At 38.7% G+C, this 25,410-nt stretch overlaps 3 annotated features.

The window, feature by feature from the left end:
* Positions 23,661–24,608: an enhancer, noted in NCBI's record as "NANOG-H3K27ac hESC enhancer chr12:58818865-58819812 (GRCh37/hg19 assembly coordinates)". NCBI's record gives its function as "activates a minimal SCP1, AML or CMV promoter by ChIP-STARR-seq in naive and primed H9 embryonic stem cells {active_cell/tissue: H9 hESC(naive and primed)}" and the evidence as "EXISTENCE:reporter gene assay evidence [ECO:0000049][PMID:30033119]".
* Positions 24,613–24,692: an enhancer, noted in NCBI's record as "active region_6568". NCBI's record gives its function as "activates an Ori minimal core promoter by ATAC-STARR-seq in GM12878 lymphoblastoid cells {active_cell/tissue: GM12878}" and the evidence as "EXISTENCE:reporter gene assay evidence [ECO:0000049][PMID:35858748]".
* Positions 24,873–24,992: an enhancer, noted in NCBI's record as "active region_6569". NCBI's record gives its function as "activates an Ori minimal core promoter by ATAC-STARR-seq in GM12878 lymphoblastoid cells {active_cell/tissue: GM12878}" and the evidence as "EXISTENCE:reporter gene assay evidence [ECO:0000049][PMID:35858748]".

The following is a 25,410-nucleotide window of genomic DNA, read 5'->3' on the forward strand; positions in this document are numbered from 1 at the left end:
AATGTGTTCATGCTTCTTCCATGGTTTATGAGAATGCCTGATTCCATATGTTCTCATGAGTATTGAATAATGTCATGCTTTTAAAAATCTTTTCCAATTAGATATTTAAAAATTGTCTTCTCGATGAAGCATATTTTGTCCCTGTTTTTTAGCCATCTGTATTTCTTCTCTGTTGCATTGTCTGCTTGGAGTGGCAAAACATTTGAAGTTTTGCTATATTAAAAGTATGCCCTTATGGTTTCTGTTTTTATCACTGCTTAAAAAAATGTATCCTAATATCAAATAAATCCTGATCTAGTTAATTCATGATTTTACTTTTTAAATTCAACTTATTTATTTATTTCAAGTTTATGTTTCTCTAATGTCCAAGGTGGGATCTAATTTCATTTTTCGTTTCTGAAAGGTAAACTAATTGTTCTAGAAAGAACTACTGACTTATCTATCTGTATCAGTTAGGAATTTCTTTAAATAGGATAATGAAGCTGACAATGATGAAGCTTTTCAGTTAAATGATAATCTCTAGCTTTTAATCAGAGTGGTGGACCATTTATATTTAATGTAATTATTAATATGGTTGAGTTTAAATCAACTTTCTCATATTTGTTTTCTATTTGTTACACTATTTATATTCCTCCTTAAAATCCTTGTTTTATATTAAGTAATTTTAAGTATTTTATTTCAACTATTGATTTATTTGCTATTCTTTTTGCTATTTTTCTTAGTGGTTGCTCTAGAGTTTAGAATACACATTTTAAAACTTATCAGAGCCTACTATGAAATACTATTACACTACTTCACATGAAATGCAGACTCTTACAGCAGCAAAATTTTAGTATCCCCTCCCTATTCTTTGGGCTTTCACTGTCATATATTTTATTTCTGCATATGTTCTAAACTTCACAATACATTATTGTTATTTTGCTTTAAGCATAAAACAAATGAACAAATGAGAAAAAATATTTTTATTTACTTACATATTTACCACCTCCAGCACACATTATTCCTTTCTGTAAATCTGAATTTTAATGTTATCATTTTCCTTCTACTTGTAGAACTTTCTTAACATTTATTGTAGTGCAAGTGTGGACTATATTTTATGAAATAAATACTGATTTAAATCAATCAATCAAATCAGTCAATATCTTCTATTTACAAAAGTCAATCATTTTAAGAGTCTACTCTTCTTTGTAGTCTTTAGAATATTTTTAATTTTTATTTCTCTGAAATTTCTTTCTATAGTTCCAAGTGTGAATTTTTCCTCTTTGTTTATTGTCAAAGTGAGATTTATTTAGTCTTGAGCTTCTCAAACGTACAGCGGCTGGATGTGGGTGGAAAGGCATAGTCTTTAATTGACCATTAACTTGGTAATATTCAAATCCCTTCATATCCATTTCCAAGTTCTTTCATGCGCACAGTTCCCATTTCAATTCTCATTATCCAGAAGGTATTCTTCTAGTAAAACTCTATTATACCAAGGAAGAAAAGAAATCTTTCTTATTTCCTAATATTCTTGTTACCTAATATTTTTAACTCCTTGATTTATGTAACACATGAAACATCACAATTCCCAATGTACACAGTCACCAAGGCTCCTCTCTGTTGGCTTCCACACACAAATCTTTACATGTGGAGGGTCTATACTTCCCAGAAACCATGTCTTATTGTAGGTTGTTTCTCTTACCTCTCAGCTACTTTTACAGGAATTATTGTCTCCAACTAAATGTTGGAAATTAGTTTTGGCTGAGAGTGAGGCAGTGATGTGTCTAACTCAATTGGACTGATGTAATGCTTCTGTAAGAAAAATGGGTACATTTTTATTAATATTGATGATTTGAAAACTATATTTCTAGATTTTACATATTCCCTCCTTGAAATGGGATACCATCATCCAAAACTAATCAATTGTTGGGGGGGGGGGTGGTCTTTAAATTGCTCTGTACTTCCATCCTGCTTATTATCTTGACTTCTATTTGTTTGAGAAATAAGCTCGAAATGTAATTATCTCAAATAAGGAGACTTCAAGTCTGGAATATAATGCTTAGAAAAGTAATTGGCTTTTAATGCTCTTACTCATGATCCCTAAGGCTCTATTTGGATGAAAATACCAGAGACACTTGGAAAACTGTCTCTAAAAAACTTTAATGATGATTGACTTGATTCAGAAAAATTATTCACTAACCCCCACCTCATTCTCTATGTTAAATATTGAAATATAAAGTTATTGACTCTTAGTCAAATAACGAACTTGGCCACGTATGCCTGTTTCAGCTGTGGTAGCTTACTTCTGCAGGGTCAAGTAGTTCCAAATGAAATTGAATAAACATGGGGGTATTCAGACACCATGGATTATATTTAAATCCTAGACATTAAAATTTACGTGGATTTGAGACAGCATTTGTTGAAAATAACATAGTAGGAAGGCTTTCTTCTTCAATATCCTCAAAGTTAATATTTTTGAATCTCATGATACAGGGCTGACTAGTTTCTGAAAAAAAAGAAAGAATAAACCTGTAGTAGTAATTTATCATTCTTGACATTTTTCTTTCAGTTTAATTACCGCTGAGCAGCAGAACTGACACTTAATAAAAGTAAGAAGCATTTAAAAATCCTCATAGAAAATCTCCACATTACAGGAGAATTGAAAAGCTATAAGATACACCTGACCACACCCATCATCTTATTTTATCGTTGAATTTCAAAGTACTCCATGTTAAAGCTTTAAAGACAATGGGACCCCAAAAGAGTAATGTGCTGATAGCCAGTAGGGCACCTGCTTCTGAGAGTCCATAATGTCTTTAATTTTTAAAGATTTTTAAAAAATCTTGCTCTCTTTTCTCCTCATTACAGTGGTATGGAACCCTGTGGCCAAAATTCAGAGGGAAGTTGCACTGTTTCCCAAGTGACTCATTTACTATCAAATATCCTGAAAAACCAATCTTTTTGTTCTCTTTTTGCTTGACTGTAAGAATGAGCCCAGAGGACAGGCCCTTAGATAAGGGCAGAAAGCATAGCCCAATACAATGTAGTTTGATGGGCCAGGAGGTACCTCTGGCCTCTGAATTCTCCCCTCTCACCTCTCCTGATGCCCAACATTCATATCTTTTGAACATTAATTTTTTTTCAGACTTTCAGAGTCTCCCATTAAAAGGACCCTATTAAAGTAGCATTAAGTAGTCTGACAATAAGACCTTTAGGATATAAAATAGAAATAGGAAGAAAGGAGCTACTTTAGGAAGATGATAAGAGAAGATAAACTCTTATTTAACCCCCTATTATGCAGTGGACATCTGTGACTTAGGTACAGATATGGAAACTAAAGCTCAGAGATATCCAGTGATTTGCCTAAGGTCACATGGCTAGTTAATAGCACGTAAGAGTTTTCAAAGACAAGCATAAGCAAGGTATCTTCCTTCCCACAGTGTAGTACTAAGGTCAGTTTTACATAGTGAATAGTTCCTAAATCATTGCAATAAATGGCAATGGCAACAATCACCTTTAGAGATCTGGAGCATTTAAATATTTGTTGAATGAGACAGTAATGATCTGACTTAGTTTTCTGCTGAAAAAAAAAACCGTGAAAATCCCATTGAAATGAACTGAGATATTATAGATTAATTACTCCTGGAAAGATAGCAAAGCAATATTCTTCAGGTATAAGAAATATAAGCATCATTTACAAACTTAACACCAGAAATGACTACATAACAAACCTATAAGCTTAGTAACATAGGATGTGGGTTAGATGTGGCAAGAAAATTACACTTAGAAGAAATAAATCAATTTCCATTAGCCAAATTTCATGGATTAAAAGAATAAGCACACTAGATAAAAGGTAAAAGTTAATGGGATTTTGAAGCAATTTCATAACTATTTAAAAATACTCAAGCTACACAGTGTCAAAACAGTCATAAGATATGGGGGGGAAATAATCAAAAGCATAATTACTAGAATTGAATGCTGTTGTTTTCATGGAATTAAACATCATTTAAAAAGTCAAAAATATTTAGTGAGCCCCAATTAAATGTTTAAAATTCCAATTCTCTTTGACATTCCCACCTCCAAAGAAGTATCAGGAGACCTACGCATACCATGTGCTGAATGGCTGGGTGTTATGTAGGACTCAAAGGTGGAAGGAAGTGGTCTCTCTTCCCCTCTAGGAGTTCACAACTGGTTGAAGCGACAGATACATATACTTATTATGTCTTCAAAGCCAAGTGGTGTGGTAACTGTTTTAAGAGAGTTTTAGATCTAGTGCTATGGAAGGCTTGTGAGTGCGACATTAACATTCACGGGTGCTGTTAGTGGTGTTATTTGAAGGAGAGAGAAAGATGTCCCCAAGTTACCTACAGCCTGATTCGGATAAGAAAACTAATACCCTGGAACATAGATTTTGATTCAGCCAGACTTGTTCTGCCTGTGGGGAGACAGCCTTGAATCGGAAGCAAAACAACTCATTTTATGCTTTTTCCCCATTCTTTTCTCCCGCTGGCTTGTTGAGATTCTCCCAACGTGATAGTATGTACTTCTATTTTAATGACAAAAGGCTGTCGTGATTTCTCTTGGACCACAGTGATTTTGGTATGCTTATCCGTTTTTAAAGTCATGTTGGTGGTTGAATTTATACAAAATGTTTAAAATTTCCTGGAACAAAACCAGCTGTAACTTATCAGAGGAAGAAAATAATACAGAAATACTTGCAAACAAAAGAAAAGACAAACAACCCTTCCCTCAAATCTACAAAGAAACTCACACAGACACATCAATTGCCAGCGTACAATATGATGCTTCTGACCTTTCACCTGTTGAGCTGTTAATGAGTTGTTTCCCTGGTTGTGGCGCTATACCATGAATTATCCACATTTTATTCCCTTCATTTGCATGTTCTTAGTATCAGGGTGAATCCAGGTATGTGACTGGGAGAAAATTCTGGCCAGCCAGCTCTGAGAGAGAACATGAGGCCACCTGTCTGTACCTGCACCTGCTTTTAGATACCCATTGATTCAGTAAACTTCTAATGAGTGCCTACTATGTAGCAGGCACAGTCACAGACATGGGGGATGCACCTGTGGACAAGGCTGACGCAGCTGCCGCCATCTTGGAATTTACTGTGGGGTCGAGAGGAAGGATGTTACCAACAGGCAAGTGTGAGTTGTATTATAGCTGTACATATGGCAAGTGCTTGCTAAGGGAAATGGCGGAAGCATAGAGGTGAGATCTTTAACCTGGAAGTGATGTCCACGTTGTGTCCTAAGGAACACATAGGAGTTAGCCAAGCGGAGGGCAGGAATGAGGTGGGGGAGTGTTCCAGGCAGGGGAGCAGCATGCATAAAAGCAGAGGCTAGAGGGAGCACGCTTGATGTGCACGCTGAATGCAGAGAAGGAGGAGGGGAGTTCAGGAGGGGAGGCCAGAGAGGTAAGTGGAACCAGGTCCCAAAAGGTCTGATTTTCTTCACTGAACTCATCTACTCTTCTTCTAGAACTCAGCCTGGTGAGATGGGCATTCAATGTTTGTTTTTCTGGTCTGTGATATTTTTCTCATTACCCCACTCCCCAACCTTCCCTTCCAGGGACACAGCTGGGAACAAGGCTCAAGGCCTCTAGGCTGTATTCACATTAGTATGTATAAAGTCACCATCTCCACTGCTCTTAAGAATCAGCTTGAGTTTTAGAAGGAGGGAGTGTGTGAACTGAGAGTGTGGTTTTGTGCCTGGTTCAATATATGAAAGGAGTAATTGTGCTTTTGGAGAGTAAAGGGCTCATAGGCTATGGGTTTGGAAATTTTCATTGAGTGTCTTCAGTGGAATTTCATTTAGTGGACTCATCGCCTAACTTTCCAGGAAGCTGAGATGCTTAGTGGGAGTTATATTTTGGTTTCCCACTGCAAGAGATGTATTGAGGCCTATGTTTTGGCTGTTTTGTTCTTGTGAGATTAGAGAGGCTGCTCTAGATACATTTCCAAACTCACCTGGGGATATTGGTGCTCTGTGAGCATTTAAATAATATATATAATTTAAATATATGTATATAATATATAATTTATATAACATGTATGTAATATATATTATATATAATTTAAATAGTTATATATATATATATAAGTTTAAGTTCAGGAGTACATGTGCAGGTTTGTTACATAAGTAAACGTGTGTCACGGCGATTTGTTGTACAGATTATTTCATCGCCCAGGTATTAAGCCTAGTACTTCTTAGTTATTTTTCCTGGTCCTCTCCCTCCTCCCACCCTCCACCCTGCTAAAGGCCCCAGTGTCTGTTGTTCCCCCTCTATGTGTAGGAGAATCTTTAACTGACTGGAAAGCAACGAGGATGTAGCGAAGCTTCCTTATACAGATTCCACTGTGCAGAAGGGCAAAGCTCTTTTGCCTTCTTGATATGTAAGGCAATGAAAAATATATTGATCCAGTTTATTCTATTGATTTGGAGATGCCTTTTTATGAGGGGAGAGAAGCAGCTTTTCTTGACCGGAGATGAGACTGACCCTACTGTTATATTAAAAGCATCTTTCTCCAAGGTGAATACCTGTCACTGACCTGGCAGCAGGGATAGCTCTCTAACTCAAGAGGATGACGGACAATTGAGCTTTAGGCAGTCATTGAAAGACTTGATATTTTTCAAATAGCTTGGTAGAGGGAGTAATTAAGAATGAAGATGTCCGTAAGAAACCCTGGCTGTCATTCATTCCAGTCTCAGGACATGTACAGTGCTAGGTCAGAGCGTGCTGTTTGATTACCCTGTATCCATTGCCCATCCTGCTTTACTCATTAATTTTTTTTAGGGCATCAATATGCCTAGCTGAAAACAACAACAACCTACATTCCCAAATCTCTCTTGACCTAGAGGAGGTCATGTGATAAAATTTTGGCCAATAATGCATAAACTACAGTGTTTGGTTTCTGAAAACAGTTGTTTTTCTGCTACAGATGCTGTGCTTTTTTGGCTTTTCCATTCTCTCCTTCATGCCTACAATGTGGACATGATATTTGGATGCTAGGGATAATGAGTAAAAGGCCACACAGAGACAGTGTCCCTGAAATCTTTGAGCTGCTGTGCTAGTGACAGCAGCTGCTATCCTCAGACTTTGTAATTTATAATAAACTTACATGTCTAAACCATGGAAAACAGATCTCTCTTACTTGCAGACAAACCCAATTCTTAACTGCCACAAATGCCTTCAGGGACGAAAGAGAAATCTGGCAGAAGATCCATCTTGGGCATGGGAGTCCCAGAGCATTCCTCCAGGACATGACTGTGCAGAGGTTTGTCTGCTGACCTTGGAAGCCTTTGCTCAGGAAGTACAGGAACAGTGAGAGTGCATTATGCAGGCCAACTGGCACAGTCTGTCCATGTGTTCACAATATGCCTTGAACATTGTCCCTTTCTCTATTTAAACCTAATTGTATGTCCCCCTGAGAACTAGTTTTGTTTAAATTATAGCTGACTGTTCTAGATCTATTAAATAGTGATATTATGTCTAATGGACCTTGACTTTACTCTTTTTCTTATTATATGCGAACAGGTGGGAGAGAAGGGATACTGAATACAATTATGCATTTCATTACTGTTTAATTGATTCATTCATCAAATAATTATTTAGTGCCCACTCTATACCAGGCACTGTGTTAAGTTTTGGGGATACAGTGATGAACATGATAGATGGTGTCTCTGTTGTATGGTCTAGACTTGGGATAATATTTTACCTTATTAATTGCTTGCTATGAGCTGGGTATTGTATTGGGTACGTTGTACACATTATCTGATACAATCTTCATGCCAAACCTATGAGATTAGTTATCATAGTCTTTTGAAGATTTAAAAATAAAAATGAATATCAGACTAATTTTATGAATATGTTACTATGGCTAGAAGGTGGGGGTGTTGGGATTCTACCCGACTTCAAGGTTATAATCTTAACTAATTTGGAAATCCCCAATGACTCTGTTTCTGTTAGGGAATATATGAACCCCACATGCCCTAACACTGGCTTAATGAGTGGTAGGAATAGAGGTGGAGATGGGCACTAAGGGGGAAGTGGGTGGAAAGAGGCTTCCTTTATAGAGAAGACATCATGAAGGAAGATATCAGGATATTCGAGTGGATGCTGTGTTCAAGTCATGGCAAAGTGAGAGACATGTTGTGAGCAATGTGATGTTTGCGTCTCTCTCTCTGTTGCCCAGGGCATAGCTTGGGTGTCTTTCTGCTATCCTGTTGGGTCAGTTGGAGCAAAGGGCCATTTTGTTCCTGTGATTTCTGCACATTTCTGCTGGAGATGTGAACCAACAGGCTACGGTTGATGGGGCACATGGTATCCTGGAGCCTAAGAGATAGGCGAAGATTGGGACAAAGTGTTGGGTAGTGCCAAAGCAAGAACAGGTCAGGAGGGCTAGTCATACGATGGATTGAGGCATTAGATACCAAGAAAAGATGTGTGTTCCAGACCAGCTCTGGCTTGGTAATCAGACAGAGGTCAGAAAAAGTCAGATGGCGGAATCTGGGTTAGTGTCCCATAGGGGCATAGAGCAGATTCTTACTGTCTTATATGGGACAGCACGAGTCATTCCCAGCCAGCCCCACTTCTGAGACATCTATTCTAGGCATTAAAGAATTAGACCTTTTAAGGCCTTGCTGCTCTTCTAGAATGGACCTTGCATTCTCTGTATTTTCTCAGAGACTCTCATTTTTCATTTCCTACAGCATATTTAAATCTTAGGGCAAATTGGAACTCAGCCATCTGGGTTGTCCTCTAGGCTGGGTAGAAACTCATTCACTGGAGTCCATGGATACATTTTTAAAAGAAATTTAGATATTCTCTCTCCCACCCTCAAGAATTGGGGATCTTGACCCAGATTCTGTAACCAATGACATTAATTTGTGAGCTGGATGACCACCACAGAGCAACCTCCTGTGGCTATAGCACAGTTTTTCTCTGAGCACAGCTCACTTCTCTGAATAGAGATGACACCTGTGGCTCTGATCCCAGGGGATACTACATTAATTGAGCTGATCTATTTAGCATGGGCACAACAGCTGAATCAAAGGTAAGGGTTAAAGAATGCTGCCAGCCATCTGGGCACAAATAGACTCTTTACCATCTTTATGATTGGCTCATCAGAGAGTGTTGATGTTTTTCCTTGACTTTTCTAGGAAAGAGCTCATCCACCATGATGTTTTGATGATTTGGGCCATCTGTAAGAAAAGCAGCTGTTTTACTCCAAAAAGGGTATTTGAAAGAGTGATTATATGTTCCCCGTGATCCTTTGAAAATGAGGAAGGGCATATTTTTTAATAGAGCTAAACTTTTAAAAACTCAAATTTGAAAAATCAACTGTAATATCTTTTCTCCCACAGAGAACATTCTCTTAGGAAATAGCCTGTTATGTCGTTATCAGTTTGTCATCTACCTTTTATTTTACAGATAATCTCTGTAGGTGACTGTGAAAAACCTCCCAGATTTTTCCTTTTATGTAGACTATCATTGAGATAATATTTCTTCTAGATTTTCATCCTATTTGGAAATGATTATCATTCATCTCCAGATGTTTTGAGATAATGTCTTCCCTTTTTCCATTTTCTATTATTTCAAGTATTTCCCCTTATTCTTGTATAATTTAACAAATTAAATCACATCTTTCCTATACTTCCTTTTTCTAGTTTAAGTCTTTGTTATCTCTTTTCAGAATCTCTTTTCAATGCTTTCTTAATGATATTGAAATTTTAGAGGTAATTCACAATTATGTTCTCTTACCACATTAAAGCATATGCATATATTTCAAGGACACAGGAAGTTCCTGTAGGCTATTTTTAAATATGCTTTAATTTTCCTGATTTCTATTAAAAACCTTTAAAATATAATCTTTCATTTCTCTAAAGTCTTAGAAAATATTGATTCAAAACGACTTAAATGTTTACTTTTCTTAGGAGTGAAACACTGAGTAATTTTTTTGAATTTTAAGGTATTGATCCACTCCTTATATTTTCAACCCAAATCTATTTGGTTGCTTATTGAAAAAAAAAGATTGCATTTCTAATCTGTGAATATAGTTTTTTCTGCAAGATGATAATAGTTTGGGTGGAAAATTTCTGAAGAAAGTCTTCTCAGGGAAAGTGTTATTAAATTCACCAAACATTTACTAAGCACGGACTGCTCTATGTTCCTAGCTTTTGGTAAGACAATCAAGATGAATAAGACTGTATTTTTTTCCTCAAGCTGCTTATAAGAGATACGTAAGCAGAGTCAGATACAAGCTATGGGAGAATATGGGATGAAGGTTAATTTTAACTGAAGAAATCACAGAAGGTGGCATTTGAAAGGCTGAGAGAACTACGATGGATAAGGAAGGAGAGAAAGGACATTCAGGCAGAGAGAGTAAGAGCATAAGGTGAGGGAATTATGCAAAAGACCAGGGAGTAAAACAGCCATATGTGCAGTAATGCTGGAGTGCAGGGCATGTTGGGAGATAAGTTCGGGAGAGCAGGTGGGCCAGATTCTGGGAGACCTTGAATCTCATGTTAAAGAGATTGCATTTCTTAAAATTAAACAAATTTAAAAATTTGTTTTAGAATAGAGATGGGGTCTTGCTGTGTTGCCTAGGCTGGTCTCAAACTCCTAGGTTCAAGCAATCCTCCCACCTCAGCCTCCCACAGTGCTGGGATTACAGGTGTGAGCTACCACACCCAGCCAAGAGACTGCATTTTAATCTGTATTCAGTAAGGAACTGCAGAAGGATTTGAGCAGAAAAATGATTTGGTCATTCTGATGTATTGTAGAAAATGGGTTAAATCATGCTGAGGTCAAAACCTGAGACATCAGATTTAAAAATGATTGCAAAGAGAAAGATGTAGAGAAGTAGCATTTATGACAGTCTCTACTGTGTTTCTAAAATGACAGTGAGTATGCCATAGTCTTCATTACAGGAGGGTACATACAAGGAGATAGTTTTTTTTTCCTCCATAAAGTGAAAGCAAGATTATTAAGAGAGTAAAGGAATAAAAGAATGGCTACTTCATAGCCAGAGCAGCAGCATGGGCTGCTTGACTAAGGATACTTTTTGTCACTTCTTGATTATATGCCAAACAAGGGGTGGATTTTTCATGAGTTTTCCAGGAAAGGGATGGGCAATTCCCCGAACTGAAGGTTTTCCTCCCTTTTTGACAGTATAGGGTAACTTCCTGATATTGCCATGGCATCTGTAAACTGTCACAGCACTGGTGGGAGTGTCTTTTAGCATGCTAATGCATTATAATTATTGCACAATGTGGAGTGAGGACAACCAGAGGTCACTCTGGTTTTGGTGGGTGTTGGCTGGCTTTTTTATTGCAACCTGTTTTTATCAGCAAGGTCTTTAAGACCTTTATCTTGTGCTGACCTCCTATCTCATCCTGTGACTTAGAGTATGTAAACTACTGGGAATGCAGCCCAGCAGGTCTCAGCCTTGTTTTACCCAGTCCCTATTCAAGATGGAGCTGCTCTGGTTCAAACACCTCTGACATATTCCCTCGCCTCCCTTTTATAAGAGAACCCTTAATCCTAAGGGTTGTAGGAGGATGAAGACCCACCTTCTATAAATTCTTCAGGCTGAATAGGAGTGATGATATTCCTGCCTAACTATTAGTGTCCTTTGTATTAAGGAGAGAGACAAGCTTAGTCAGAAAGCATCAGCATGGTAAGGACCATTCATAACTCTGACAAAAGGTAATATCTGGAGGATTAATAAGTGTTCAATTTAAGAAAACATTCAGTAAACTTATCCTGTATTCCTACACAAAGAGTACAACAGCAAATGTATTTCATAACAGTAAAGCAAAATAAGCAAAATTACCCCAAATAAACCAAATTAGAAGGCTTTCCATGAAGTGGGCAACTGTTGGAACCAAGCTGATATGGGGTTGCTAGCTGATTCCAATATGTGCCCAGAATTAGAATATTGATCCAGATTTTTTTACATTACCCATCCCTCTTGTTTCTTTTGAGCTATAGCCAGAGATCACTGGTTGGTTTACAGGAATAAGCAGGGTTAGTCTAAATTGCAGGAAACAAGCTTTAAAAAGCTTAAAAATGAGACTAGAATCTAACAATGAATGTACCATAGTTCTTGAAACATATTTTTTTTTTCTCCGTGCAGTTTCCCATTTTTACTAAAGACAAATCACGGTAAGATCAATTTGCTTTATTATACTTGGCCTGATTATTTGTATAAAGTGCAGCAAGAATAATAATTTTTTTACATAGGCTTTTAAAATTGGTTTTGATGGAACTTTGTTCCATAAGGAATCTCAGATAAGACTTTTTTTAAAGCCAAGCTCAGCCATGGGTTTGTACCCTTAAATACCTATGAACTGGGTAAATTCCTTTTCTCTTGAGGTCCCAAGGTTATGTGGGGCTCCTGGGACTGTAAGAAAGTGACATTCTGTACTTATCACAGGTCAGGAACCCTGTACAGGGACTGCGTAGGCAAAGTATGAAGCTAGTTTTCCCAAGGGGCTTTTATTGGCCCTATAAGTCAAGTTTGACTCCTTAAAGGAAAGCATGCCATTCCAGTCAAATCCTTGGTCAGATAAGCAGTTTCTAAGGGAGGTTGTTTGAACACAAACTTAGTCATGCTAAATGTGGCAGATATTACTAATGTTTACTAATTTCCTTTTCTTTCTGTGTTCAAAGAGCACTGGGCTTCCCAGGTCCTTGAAGTTAGGCATGGCTGTCATTTCCAGGTGGAAGCACATAAGAACTGGTGTATGTTTAACTGTTTTCTTCCCTGCCACTGCACTCATGGAAATATATGTGGATATAGAAGTGCCACAAAAACCAAATGGCCTATAATTCTGAGCTAGCACATGGAAGGTAGTACCTTAGAGTCATCCTGACCTGAAGTAAACTTTGGGTACACAGAAATAAACTTTTGCTGCATTAAACCTCTGAGATTTTGGTGGTGATTGTTCCTGAAGCAAAACTTAGTAGACCAGGCCTATCTAATAGAACTTTCTATAATGATTGGAGTGTTCTGTATCTGCACTGTCTGGTATGGTAGCCACTAGCCACATACAGCTATTGAGCACTTTAGGTGTGGCTGGTGTGACTCAGGAAAAGAATGTTTAATTTTATTTAGTCTCAATTCATTTAAATAAGCATTGTAAACCAAAAAGTGACTGAGTCAGGTCTCAATTGATTAGAGGTTTACTTAGCCAAAGTTGAGGACTCACCAGGGAAAAAACATGAATCACAGGAGCATCTGTCATCTATGCTTTTTCCAAAGGGGATTTTGTGAACTTTGGTATTTAAAGAAAAAAGAGCATGTAGAGTGGGTGGGGAGTGGGTGGGGGGGTGGGGAGGGAAGGAGGGTAGGCAGTGAGGCACGTGGTTACATTCTTGTGAGACTCTGATTAGCCTCAGTAAACCTACATTTTACATGTGAAAGTAGGGAGTAGGGGAAGCGAGGCTATGACATGGGTTGTGAAATTACAGCAATCTGGAAATAAAAGGAAAACAGTATGGGTGACAGTTTCCAAGCTTAACTTTCCTTTTGGCATACTGAGTTTGGGGTCCTGAGATTCTATTTATCTTTCACAGTATCCTGGCTGATACTTTAAAGGATTTCTTTAACACCTAGAGAAAATATTCCAAAACCCCTTGCAACTGAACAGAAAATACAGGAGATGAGGAAACCTTGAACCAAAGTGAACTAGTAGAAGGGAACTTTTAGTTATGAAGACGGTATGTCTTTCATCTAAATTCAGGATAATACTTCACTGAAAAAGCAATTGTGCAGTTTCAGAATCTGGTAGGTAAAAATGATACTAAAGAAAAAAATCTACTTAAAGAAAACTTGTATTGTGTTCCTACTATATAAAAGGCATAATGTTAGCTGCTTAAGTTTTATTGACTTATGTATTTGTTCACCAAATTTTTAATGAGTGCCTACTGTATACCAGGCATATGATAGAGTCCCCAGGCTCTGGCAGATACACTAGTGAACAAAACAGACAAAAATATCTGCCATTATGGAGCTTACTTTCTAAGCAGGTTGAAAGACTATAAGCAAACGTATTAAAATAATGCCAGAGTGTGATAAATGTCATGAATAACGACAGCTAGCACTTATTGATCACTTCCATATGCCAGGAACTAGTCTATTTTGCATATATTTATCCATTTAATCCTTCTAATAACCCTATGGGACAGGAATTATCATCATCACTATTTTTTGATAAGGAAACTGAGACCCAGGGAGATTAAGAACTATACAAAATGTTTGTCCCTTGGGAATTCCTATGTGAGGAGATAAACAATGATGCCATTCAGTTGGTAAATACTGTAGGCAAAATGTCCCAGATATGCTGGGGGACAAAATAAAGCAGGGTCAGCTCTGCTTGGGGGAAGTTGTAAAGAGGAGGTGGATGCAGCTAAACCCTAGAGGAAGAGTGGGTATTGTCAGGGAGACAAAGGAGGGGTGAGAGTAAGTGTTCCAATTAGAGGGCATGCCTGTGCAAACTGTGCTAAGACACAGTTCCATGTGGGAAGATGCTAGAGACCCAGGAAGCAGCCAGACTGTGGAGTGTGCTGTGCCTAAGACATCTGACTGTCAGGAAAACTCAGACTGTACAAAAGTGAGGAGAGACAGATCCAACCATTTTCCTACCAGATTAGTAGAGAGTTCTAACTGAAAGGTAGTCATTTCCTTCTAAGAAACAGCTTTTTCAAGTAAGGCTTCTGAAAATGAACTCTCTAACAAGGCTAGGAGAGATAGAAGGCAGACCCAGTGGGTTACTTGGGTCAGAAGACTCAGCAGGGTCAGATAGGCAGAAGCTGAGGTTGTCGGGGTAGAATTGCTACCTCTGAGGACATCAGATGCTGTCAGTGGGGAAACTGCTTGTTAGGTGAAGACTCAGCATGCATAAATATTTTGAATGTTACATCAGATGGTTATATTTTAAAAGTCTTTAAATGAATGTGGCTTACAAAGTTTTAACAGAAGGGGGCACTTTGGACATGGGAAAGATGCCCAGAAAGGAATCAAAGGCTGATGGTTCTGGGAGTCCCAGGGAAAAAGTCTGCCTAACCCGACTTGCTCACAGAGCAACTCTGCAGCTTTGGACAGGACCTCTCTGTGGTTTAAGACATAGATAAATCAGGCACTGTGGCTTATGACTGTGATCCCAGTAACTCCAGAGGATGAGGAGGGAGGATAGCTTGAGAGCAGGAGTTTGAAATCAGCCTGGGCAACATAGCAAGATCCTGTATCTACAACAAATTAAAAAACAATTAGTTGGGTGTGGTGGCATGCGTCTGTAATTCTAGCTACTTGGGAGGCTGAGGCAGGAGGATCACTTGAGCCCAGGAGTTCAAGGCTGCAGTAAGCTATGATCATGCCGAGGCAACAGAGCAACACCCTGTCTCTAAAAAAATATTAAACAACAAAAAAACATAGATAATAACAATACTGAACTCACTGAGCTGTCCTGATGGTTAAATATAAAAGCACTTTGTAAACTATTCAGAACCTTATTACATCATCCCATCTAGGGACAAAAGTAACTGACAGAACTAGTGAAGGCTGCTACATTAAATTTACCATGGTAGGCTAAATAATGGTTCCCAAAGATATCCATGTCCTAAACCCCAGAACTTAGGAATAATGGCAACAGGGTGAATATTACCTTACACGGCAAAATATGTGATTACATTAAGGATTTTGGAAGAGGGAAACTATCCTGGATTATCCATGTGGGCCCTAAAGTAATCACATGTCCTTTTAAGAGGGAGGCAGAGCTGGGTGTGGTGATGCACACCTGTAATCCCAGCACTTTGGGAGGCTGAGGTGGGTGGATCACCTGAGGTCAGAAGTTGGAGGTGAGCCTGGCTAACATGGTGAAACCCCATCTCTACTAAAAATACAAAAATTAGCTGGGTGTAGTGGTGTGTGCCTGTAATCCCAGCTACCCAGGAGGCTGAGGCAGGAGAATCTCTGGAACCCGGGAAGTGGAGGTTGCAGTGGGCCAGGATTACACCACTGCACTCCAGCCTGGGTGACAGAGCAATACTCTATTTCAAAAAAAAAATGGTAGGGAGGCAGTGGGAGATTTGAGGGAGATTTGATATGAAGGAGAAGGTGATGAGACAGGTGCAGAAAGCATTCTGAAGATGTTACTTGTTGATGGTGAAGTTGGAAGGAGTGGCCATGAGCTAAGGAATGCAACTCTAGACATTGAAAAAGGCAAGGAAATAGATTTTTCTCATAGAGTCTCCAGTGAGAGTGCAATCCTGTCAACACCTTGATTTTAGCTTAGTGAAAGTGATTTCAGACTTCTGGCCTCCTGAACTATAAGAGAATAAATTTGTGTTGTTTTAAGCTCTGAGTTTGTGGTATTATTATTATTATTATTTTTTGTTACAGCATCCCCAGGAAACTAATACACTCACTAAATACTTATTGAAGACCTACAGTGTTCAAGGGATTGTGTTGGTATGGCTGGGCCTATAATGATAAGTAAAAATGATTAGTATTTTCCTCTTTATTTATCCTTATATAGGAGGACATTAAAGCAAGAAATATCAATAAAGGCAAAATGTTAAAGCTGTAAGAGAAACAAGTATACATTATGCTTATTCAGTGGAAGGGGAGATTCTTGAGCTAGTTGGTAGTTGGTAGGATCAAGAGAGCCAAAGTGGAAGGAGGGACAATTAAAACAGAACTAAAAGGAAGTGAAAATAATGGAAGGTAGAAGTGGGACAGAAGAGGTTGTACCAGGTAGAAAAAAGTGAACAAAGATGAGAGAATGAAATGTATGTTTGAAGAATAAGGAATAGTCCATTTTTGCTGTAACGTAGGTACTTGGATTTGGTTAGAAGGGAGCATCAGGGCCCTACGGTGCGAAGTTGTAGCTGCCAGCCTAAAGGATTTATATTTTTCACTAAACAATGAAGCATCGTTAAAGGTATTTGCATTAAGGCATCTTTATTTTATATTTAAAATATCTGGTTAGTTAAAACGTTCTGGGGGAGATTGTAAATGTTGCATATTAAAACAATTGTGGCAACTAAAAGAATTTGTGGTCAATTTTTCTGCAGTGCAAAACTTGCTTATGCATTATGATGACTTTACTATATTTGACATTTTTAAAACATACTTCTGCAATAAGAAAACAAGACTGAAAACTAAATGAAGACAGCTTTTTATTGAATTAAAAAATGTTACTGTACTTCAAAGAGAGAGTCTGATGGAAAAGATGATGAGTGATAAACAACGTACTAGCTCATGGATTTGGTAGCTATTCTCAATATAAAAAATATAAAAAATATAAAAATTTCTAACGCCATAAAGATGTTAAAACTGATATAATAGAAGAAGGAGGAGACTAATAGATGTATAGATAAAATAGAAGGACTGATAGTGATAGAGGCAGGAGGCAGAGAAACTCTAGGCAGACAGGGGTGGGTCCCTGGCAAAACCCCACCTTCAAGCCAAAAAGCCTTAAACCCGCAGCTCAACGTGAGAACTTCCATCCCAGTGTGCTCGCTCTTTCCTGATTGGATCTTTCTGAATAGGGCCTTTTTACCAATCGAATGTTGCCTTTTGCAAAAGTGCCTATGGCCCACCTGCCAACCATCCTGTGCCTAAAAGACCCCAGACTCAGCCAGTAGAGAGGAGAAGCGGCTGGACGTTGGGAAGAGGCAACTTGACTTCAGGGGAAAGCGAACTGCCCTTCCTGTCCCCTTCCAGCTCCCCTCTCTGCTGAGAAATGCATTTACCACCCTTCAGTTCATCCACACGACCTCATTCTCGTTGAGCTCCAGGCAAGAATTCGGGATCTACCAAGTGCAGGTACCCAAAAAGGCTGTCACACTGGCCCTTTGCCCTCACTGGCAGAGGGCAGCCGCCCCATGTGACAATGGAAAGGGCCCACTGAGCTGATAACACACTGCTGTCCGTGGACGGTAGAGATAAGACAGCATTGTAACACACCCTCTGGGGCCTTGGGGTCGCAGGCACCCCGGTCTGTATGCTGCTATGGGGCCTGCATGAAGTTTGCTCCTGCTGGCACTAAAGCAGCCAACTGGTTCCTGCACTCACTTGCCTATGTGCTCCCTCCTGCAAGGGGTGGAGTGGGGCGCACCCAAGTGAATGGAGTTTTCTCCTGCCGGTGCCAAAGCAGCCGGCTGGTTCCTGCACTTGTTTACTCTCGCACACTCTCATGCGAGGGGTTGAGTGGGGTAGGCTGAGTAAATGGGGCACCCCTGTTGCAAATCCCATGAAGGAGTCAAGAAAATATCCTGCATCAATAGGAGGAAATAGAAGTAATTAAAGTGAAGAATGGGGAAGACTTTGCATAAATGATAGGATATTGAAGTATACTACTTAAGAAGATTTTACTTGTGTCTTCTTTAAGAAAATAAAAACCTCCACCATTTTTCTCATGTAATTTGTTGGCAATCAGCAACATTTAGCAAATATTTTAACATTTACCCAGTGTCAGGCACTAGACTATGTACAAGTGACTCCATAGTAAAGAGACATTCTTATACCTGGTGGAGGATGATCCTTTAAGCAGAAAAGGTGCTTTTATATGGCAACATTCTAGGTTATCTAAGTAATCTGGATATTTTTAAGGAAGCATTTCATTTACTGGCTCACTGAGTAAATGCTGGAGTTTCCCTAGTGAATCTTGCCAGCACATGTGGGGAAGAGCAGCTGAGATGTGCTGATCTATAGAGCATTAGACCAGGAGTGGACCTTTCCAACACTCAGTATTTTATTTCTCACATTATATAAAACAGGGCGTTTTGTAAGTTTGATTGTATAAAGAAGTAGGTTAAAATGGAAAAACACAAACAATCCACAATAAAATATGTTTGCTAGGCAAATAAGAGGATATTGTTCTGTAGATAGCTCTAATGGAAAATAGAAGAGGTGTTTTAAAAACATTCATTACAAAAATATGTATTGCCTTGGAAACCACATAAAAGAAATTAGTGACAAAAACCAAACTCAAATGTGGTAAAAAGAAGAAAATCATACAGTAAATCAAAATTTGAAAGATTCACCTTTAAGGCTGGAGTACAAGATAAAAGTAGAAGAAAAAAGCAGGTGAAAGAAAGAGCGATTAGTCCTTTTGCCCAGGGTAACCTCACATGTGAACATTTATCCAAAACAAACACTGAACATTCATTTGTGCTACTAAATGATTTTTAGAAAGAAAATCTTCCAGCAGGAGCCAAGTTCCTCCAACCTAGATTCATATCTGCCACGTATCATTCCCCGGGGCAGAATGTGGTCTAGTTCTCCCCTTTACTGTGGAAAACACCCTGTTGCTGATCCGTGCAACAGCTCTCAAAGATACTTTAATCATTTCCATCAAGGGCCAATGGTCCAGTTAAAAATTGGCTCAATATGTGCACAGTTGTAGCTGTCTTTTAACTGAGAGTTTCAGTTAGTATTCATAAATTTATGCATATACACATTAAAAATTCTTGGTTTCTGATTATCCAGTTATTCCCTTTCCTCTTCCCTAGGATGTTATTCAGAATGAGTTGTTACAGATACCGTTAGCCCAGGGAAGGACTGCAATTCTTTCAATGTCTAAATCCCCAAATCTAAGATTCATTTATGTATTATGAGCTTGCGGTTTAGCTTCATCTCTGCTGTAGGTGTACAGTACCTTCATTAACATAAATATTATAGCAGCATAAGCTCTATTGCCTTATTTAGTAGATGTTTTGTACGTTGTGTGTGCAGAATTGACATCATCCCAAATGCTATCAATGTCAAAATGACAGAAAAGGATGTAGAGCGTCCTAAAAATGGACACAATGAGTACCATTCGCTGTGTATTAGTTAGGTGTTGGTTGTAACAGAGACAAGATAGCAGTGGCTTAAATAAGACAGATATTTCTGTCCCATATAATCTTGGGGACAGGCTGGAGGCCGGGACTGACAGGTAGGACAATTAGCAGTCATTGCCACCATCTAAAATGGTCATTTATATTCCACTTAAAGGAGATGTTCATTCATTGTGCTGAATCAACACGAGTTAGTGTACAATGTATGGCCAGGTTTCCTGGTTCATGGTGGTGCAAGCTAAAATCACATAAAAAAATGAAAGCAAACAACAAATAAAACAACATATACCGGCATTAATAAGTTTGTTTGCTGCTGCTTATCTGTTTTCCTACCACACTAAATAAATTGTGAACTTATAAAATGCATGGTGATGAGTTAATTAATAAAGCTCAATAACACACAGGGCCAAATTAGCACTCTTAGGCTAAATGGGGCTCAAAGCAGTAATTACTAGAAATTTTTGAGTTGTGATAAAACCACTGACATATATAAACCTTTGAATTGTGTTATTAATCATATCATATGATAATTTTTAAAACCTACACATTCTATCATAAGTAGAATAAAACCTGTGAAAAGTTTTCAAGTGCAAAATTTAAATTTTGTTAATGATTTATTTAAAAAATACAAAATGTACATTTTAGGATTATTCTAGATGTAATTAAGGGTATAAACAGAATCTAAATATTTAAGATCAAATCTGTATAACAAATTAAACTAAGATTTTAAATCCCATCTATGACCAATGATTAGCAATGATCAGAATGATAGAGAATTTTAAAAAAGTGATTCACGGGCTCTACCCTTGGAGATTCTGATTTTGTGGATCTGGTGTAAGGCTTAGGAATGTAACTGCCCAGTGGGTTCACCTTGCCCGCTGCCCAGGCAGAGCCAATTTACCAAGACAGGGGAATTGCAATGGAGAAAGAGTAATTCATGCAAAGCCAGCTGTGTATGGGAGATCAGAGTTTTATCATTACTGCAGTCAGTCTCCCCAAGCATTGAGGATCAGAGTTTTTAAGGATAATTTGGCAGGTAGGGGCTCCGGAAGTGGGGAGTGCTGATTGGTTAGGTGGCAAATGGAATTATAGTGGGGTTGAAGTGAGTTTTTCTTGCTGTCTTCTGTTCCTGGGTGGGATCACAGAATTGGTTGAGCCAGATTATCAGTTTGGGTGGTGTCAGCTGATCCACTGAGCACAGGGTCTGCAAAATATCTCAAGCACTGATCTTAGGTTTTACAATAGTGATGTTATCCCCAGGAGCAATCTGGGGAGGTTCAGACCCTTGCTGCCTGGCCCCTAAACCGTAGTTTCCAATCTTGTAGCTAATTTGTTAGTCTTACAAAGGCAGACTGGTCCGCAGGCAAAACGGGGGTCTTTTTGGAAAAGGACTATTAACACTTTTGTTTCAGAGTCAAACTATAAACTAACTTCCTTCCCAAGGTTAATTTGGTGGACACCCAGGAATGAACAAGGACAGCTTAAAGCAAGATGGAGTTGGTTAGGTCTGACTTCTTTCACTGTCATAATATCCTCAGTTATAATTTTTGCAAAGTCAGTTTCAGGAGCTTGCATTTTTAAAAAGCTTTCCACATGATAGAAATCTCTGGTATAGGTAATTTATTCAGGAGCACAAATTTACATCAGAATAATGTCTGAGATATTTGAAATATTAGATGTTCTAGAAAGTGTTTTTAGATTCTTTCCATTAAAAAAACTCTGATATTGTTAGTATTTTGGCAAATAAAGTTCTTCTTGCTATTTAATGGCATTTATGAACCTGTGGCTAAAACAGATCACTTACAGATAGTAGATTCTTGTGTGGCTACTCCCACTATTTTTATTACATGGCTACAGAGCTATCTCATTATTCAATGCAATCAAACCTTATGTCAGTAAATGGAAATATGTGGATTTTAAAATAGAGGATTTTACTCCCCACACTCAGTCTAATGAAGCTAGCAGTTTAAAAATCCAAAAATTATAAAGTGAAATGCTCCTTCCTCTTCGGATGATATTCCTGAACTCCAATAGACAGTGTTGGGCCCAAGGTCGTTGTCCACCCAGTGGTTTGATGAAAAAATCACTGACATAAGGCAGATTGATTAGTTGGAGAAAAGACACACAAATTTATTTAATGTGTATGCATGGGAGCCTTCAGAATGAAGACCCAACCTCGCAATGAGGTACAGAAACTTGCAGAAAGAATGGGGGGTTGGATGGACAGAACAGGTTACAGGAAAGGGAGAAGAGGAATTCTACTAACCAGCAATAAATGATTACTAGGGAGAAGGACTGGATCCAGGGAAACAGAAATTAACTTGCAAATATTTCTGTTTGAAATTTAAATGATCCTTGGAGACAGTCATTATCTTATTGAAAAAAGGGGTTTGTTCAGGTGTAGTTTCATTCTTGGTCATCTTTTCTGTAATGGCCACAGAGGGGAACAAGAAAAATTGTTCTCCTTGGAGGTCTGGATCTTAGGCAGATAAAGGAACTTCAATGTCTAGGAGAGGTCATAGAGACCTTGAAGGTTTCTTCAGTGCAGCATGTCAAAAATGCCATATTTGGGGGTATTGTTTCTGAGCCCCAACAATAGCCTTTGTAGGAGAACAGAATATGCCACCCTAAAATATGCCTTTTTGGCATAAGGGTTATTTTGAACTAATTATTTTGAGAAATGGCAGACACATGAGAAACTCTGAAAACAGAGTTAAAGCTACCCTTTTTGCGAGGGAAATTAACATCTATACAAAAAATCTCAATTTGTAAAGCTATCTCTCTGTCTGTCTGTCTCTCTCTCTCTCTCTCTCTCTCTCTCCCTGCCCCCCAACCCCTAGCCAAGAAGAGATGTATGATTATAAATCATTTAAGACTCTTATCAATGGAGAAGGCACCCACTTAAATCTGCATAACAAACTTTTCTCTTATTTACTATGCTTTTCCCATACCATTCTTTCTTTCTTTCAGTGGTAGATTGTCTGTAAACCCAAGTCTAAACCATCTCTTTGAGATTTAGTGATTTCTCTAGATAGCTCCCATGTATACATGAGGTTACATGTTAATAAAATTGTGTGTTCTTTTCTTATCAATCTGTCTTTTGTTATAAGGGCCCATTCAACTAAAAACTATGAAAGTAAAGAGAAAATCCTTTTTCCTGTCCTACACCTTAAATAGGGAACATATGACTAAAAATATTCAGTCAAAAAGAATTTTTCTGAATTGATGCTGAGTTTCTGTCAAGAAAATTTGTGGATACCATACAAGGGAAAAAATGGGAACATAAAATTCTCACTTTCTGGTGCATAAAGCAGTGGGTTCATTTGTTAATATGGCTTTTAGTTTCATTATCAAAATTTGAACTTTTATGGTACATTAGCTGAGCTATTTCTAACATTCTTCTGAAAATGAGAAGATTCATGTCAAAAATTGGCTGTGACATATTTCTAATAAACAAATGGATAAGTGACTATCAGCTGCCTCTGCAATTCCTACTGACTTGAAAACTGCTTACTTTGAACCATTCAGGATAATTCTAGAAAGTTATAATGATTTTCTGGGAACATGCAAATAATGAAAGTCTGAGAAGTGATTACATTACCATAGTTTTACTCTGGAACTTGGCATAATGAAACTGAAACTTTTGTCAACAGTTAAAAATATTTGAGATTCGCTGAAGCAATCTAGTGCTAATGTCTGGAGTTGACTTTATAATTGAGACAATATGAGCCCTACTGAATGCAGTTATTGTGATAGAAAGCTAATCTAAAGAAAGTAGGAACACAATAGACTGCACACATTCTCAACCAGTTTCAATTTGGTATTTCAGTTTTAACAGTAAAGGTATCAGACTGCTGAATATTTTATTGTTGTGTAACCACCAAGGATACTGTGTAGACAGGTAAGATATTTTAATTTTCCCTCCTCTGGTGAATACAAGACCCATCAATGTCAGGAGTGGCACAGTGCAGCTATAAAGTAATATTTTCTTTTGCATTCCAACAGCAGAAAACATCTCTGGCTGCCAACAGTATCTGTATTTAAATTCTTCAGAATCACAGTTTCTTGTTCTTGCAAAGGACACACATTAGGGCCTGAATGGCCTTTGAAACTCATCTTATTTGTATTTGAGTGAGGGCTAAATTATATATCTTTTCCACACTAGGAAGAAAGAAAGTGGATTAAAGAAGAAAGATAGCTGTTTGAAATGCACAATGCCTTTACTAGGAACTAAAGGAATTGCATTCAATGGAAGCTGAATTTCAGACTAGTAAATGTGTTGGTAATCCTCTCTTTGTTTACTGAAAATGAATCACTTCTCAGTTTCTGAAAGGAAACAAAGAAATGTGCCCTGTGTTTGCAAAGGCTATAAATCCTCTAGTTGAGGCCATTTCAAGCTCACTGAGACTGCTGGTAAGGTTGAGTCATGCTTTCAAGAATGCATGGTGCAGTTTCAAAAAGAAAAAACAAAATGTGTTCCGAGTCAGCAGCGTTGCTGAGCAAACTGATGGTGAGTTTTCTGGAGAATCAGCCTTCAGCTCTGTGCCCACAGTCAGGTCACCCATTTATTCCTCAGAGTCAAATGGCAAATGTGTTCGTGCTGGTAAAGGTCAGTCAACACATTCAACTCTTACCCTTGGAGAGAAAGCTGGAAACCATCTTGGACACTTCTCATTGGCTTAGGAATGTCAGCTGAACTTGGAAACCTGCCCAGACTGTATTTTGCCATGACTGGCAGAGATAGGGTCTCCCACCAACTTCTCAGAACCACACTTGCAAAGATTAACTCTTTTGCACAGGAAACACCAACTTTCTATCTGGCCACATTGCTGCCTGAGACATGGCTTCTATTCTGAAGAGCTGCCAAGAGGGAGACTCTGTATGGCTGAATAGGAACAGCTCTGGTCTGCAGTTCCCAGTGAAATCAACACAGAAGGCCTGTGATTTCTGCATTTCCAACTGAGTGTAAACAAAGCTGCCAGGAAGTTCGAACTGGGCGGAGCCCACCGCAGCTCCACAAAGCCTCTGTAGCCACACTGCCTCTCTAGATTCCTCCTCTCTGGGCAGGGCATCTCTGAAAGAAAGGCAGCAGCCCCAGTCAGGGGCTTATAGATAAAACTCCCATCTCCCTGGGACAGAACACCTGGGGAAAGGGGCGGCTGTGGGCACAGCTTCAGCAGACTTAAACATTCCTGCCCATTGGCTCTAAAGAAAGCAGAGGATCTCTCAGCACAGCCCTTGAGCTCTGCTAAGGGACAGACTGCCTCCTCAAGTGGGTCCCTGACCCCCATGCCTCCTGACTGGGAGACATCTCCCAGCAGGGGTCGACAGACATCTCATACAGGAGAGCTCCAGCTGGCATCTTGTGGGTGCCCCTCTGGGGGACGAAGCTTCCAGAGGAAGGAACAGGCAGCAATCTTTGCTGTTTGGCAGCCTCTGCTAGTGATACCCAGGCAAACAGGGTCTGGAGTGGACCTCCAGCAAACTCCAGCAGACCTGTATCAGAGGGGCCTGTTAGAAGGAAAATTAACAAATAGAAAGGAATAGCATAAACATAAAGAAAAA

This window comes from Homo sapiens, chromosome 12 (genome assembly GCF_000001405.40).
Source record: "Homo sapiens chromosome 12, GRCh38.p14 Primary Assembly".
Classification (NCBI taxonomy): Eukaryota; Metazoa; Chordata; class Mammalia; order Primates; family Hominidae; genus Homo; species Homo sapiens.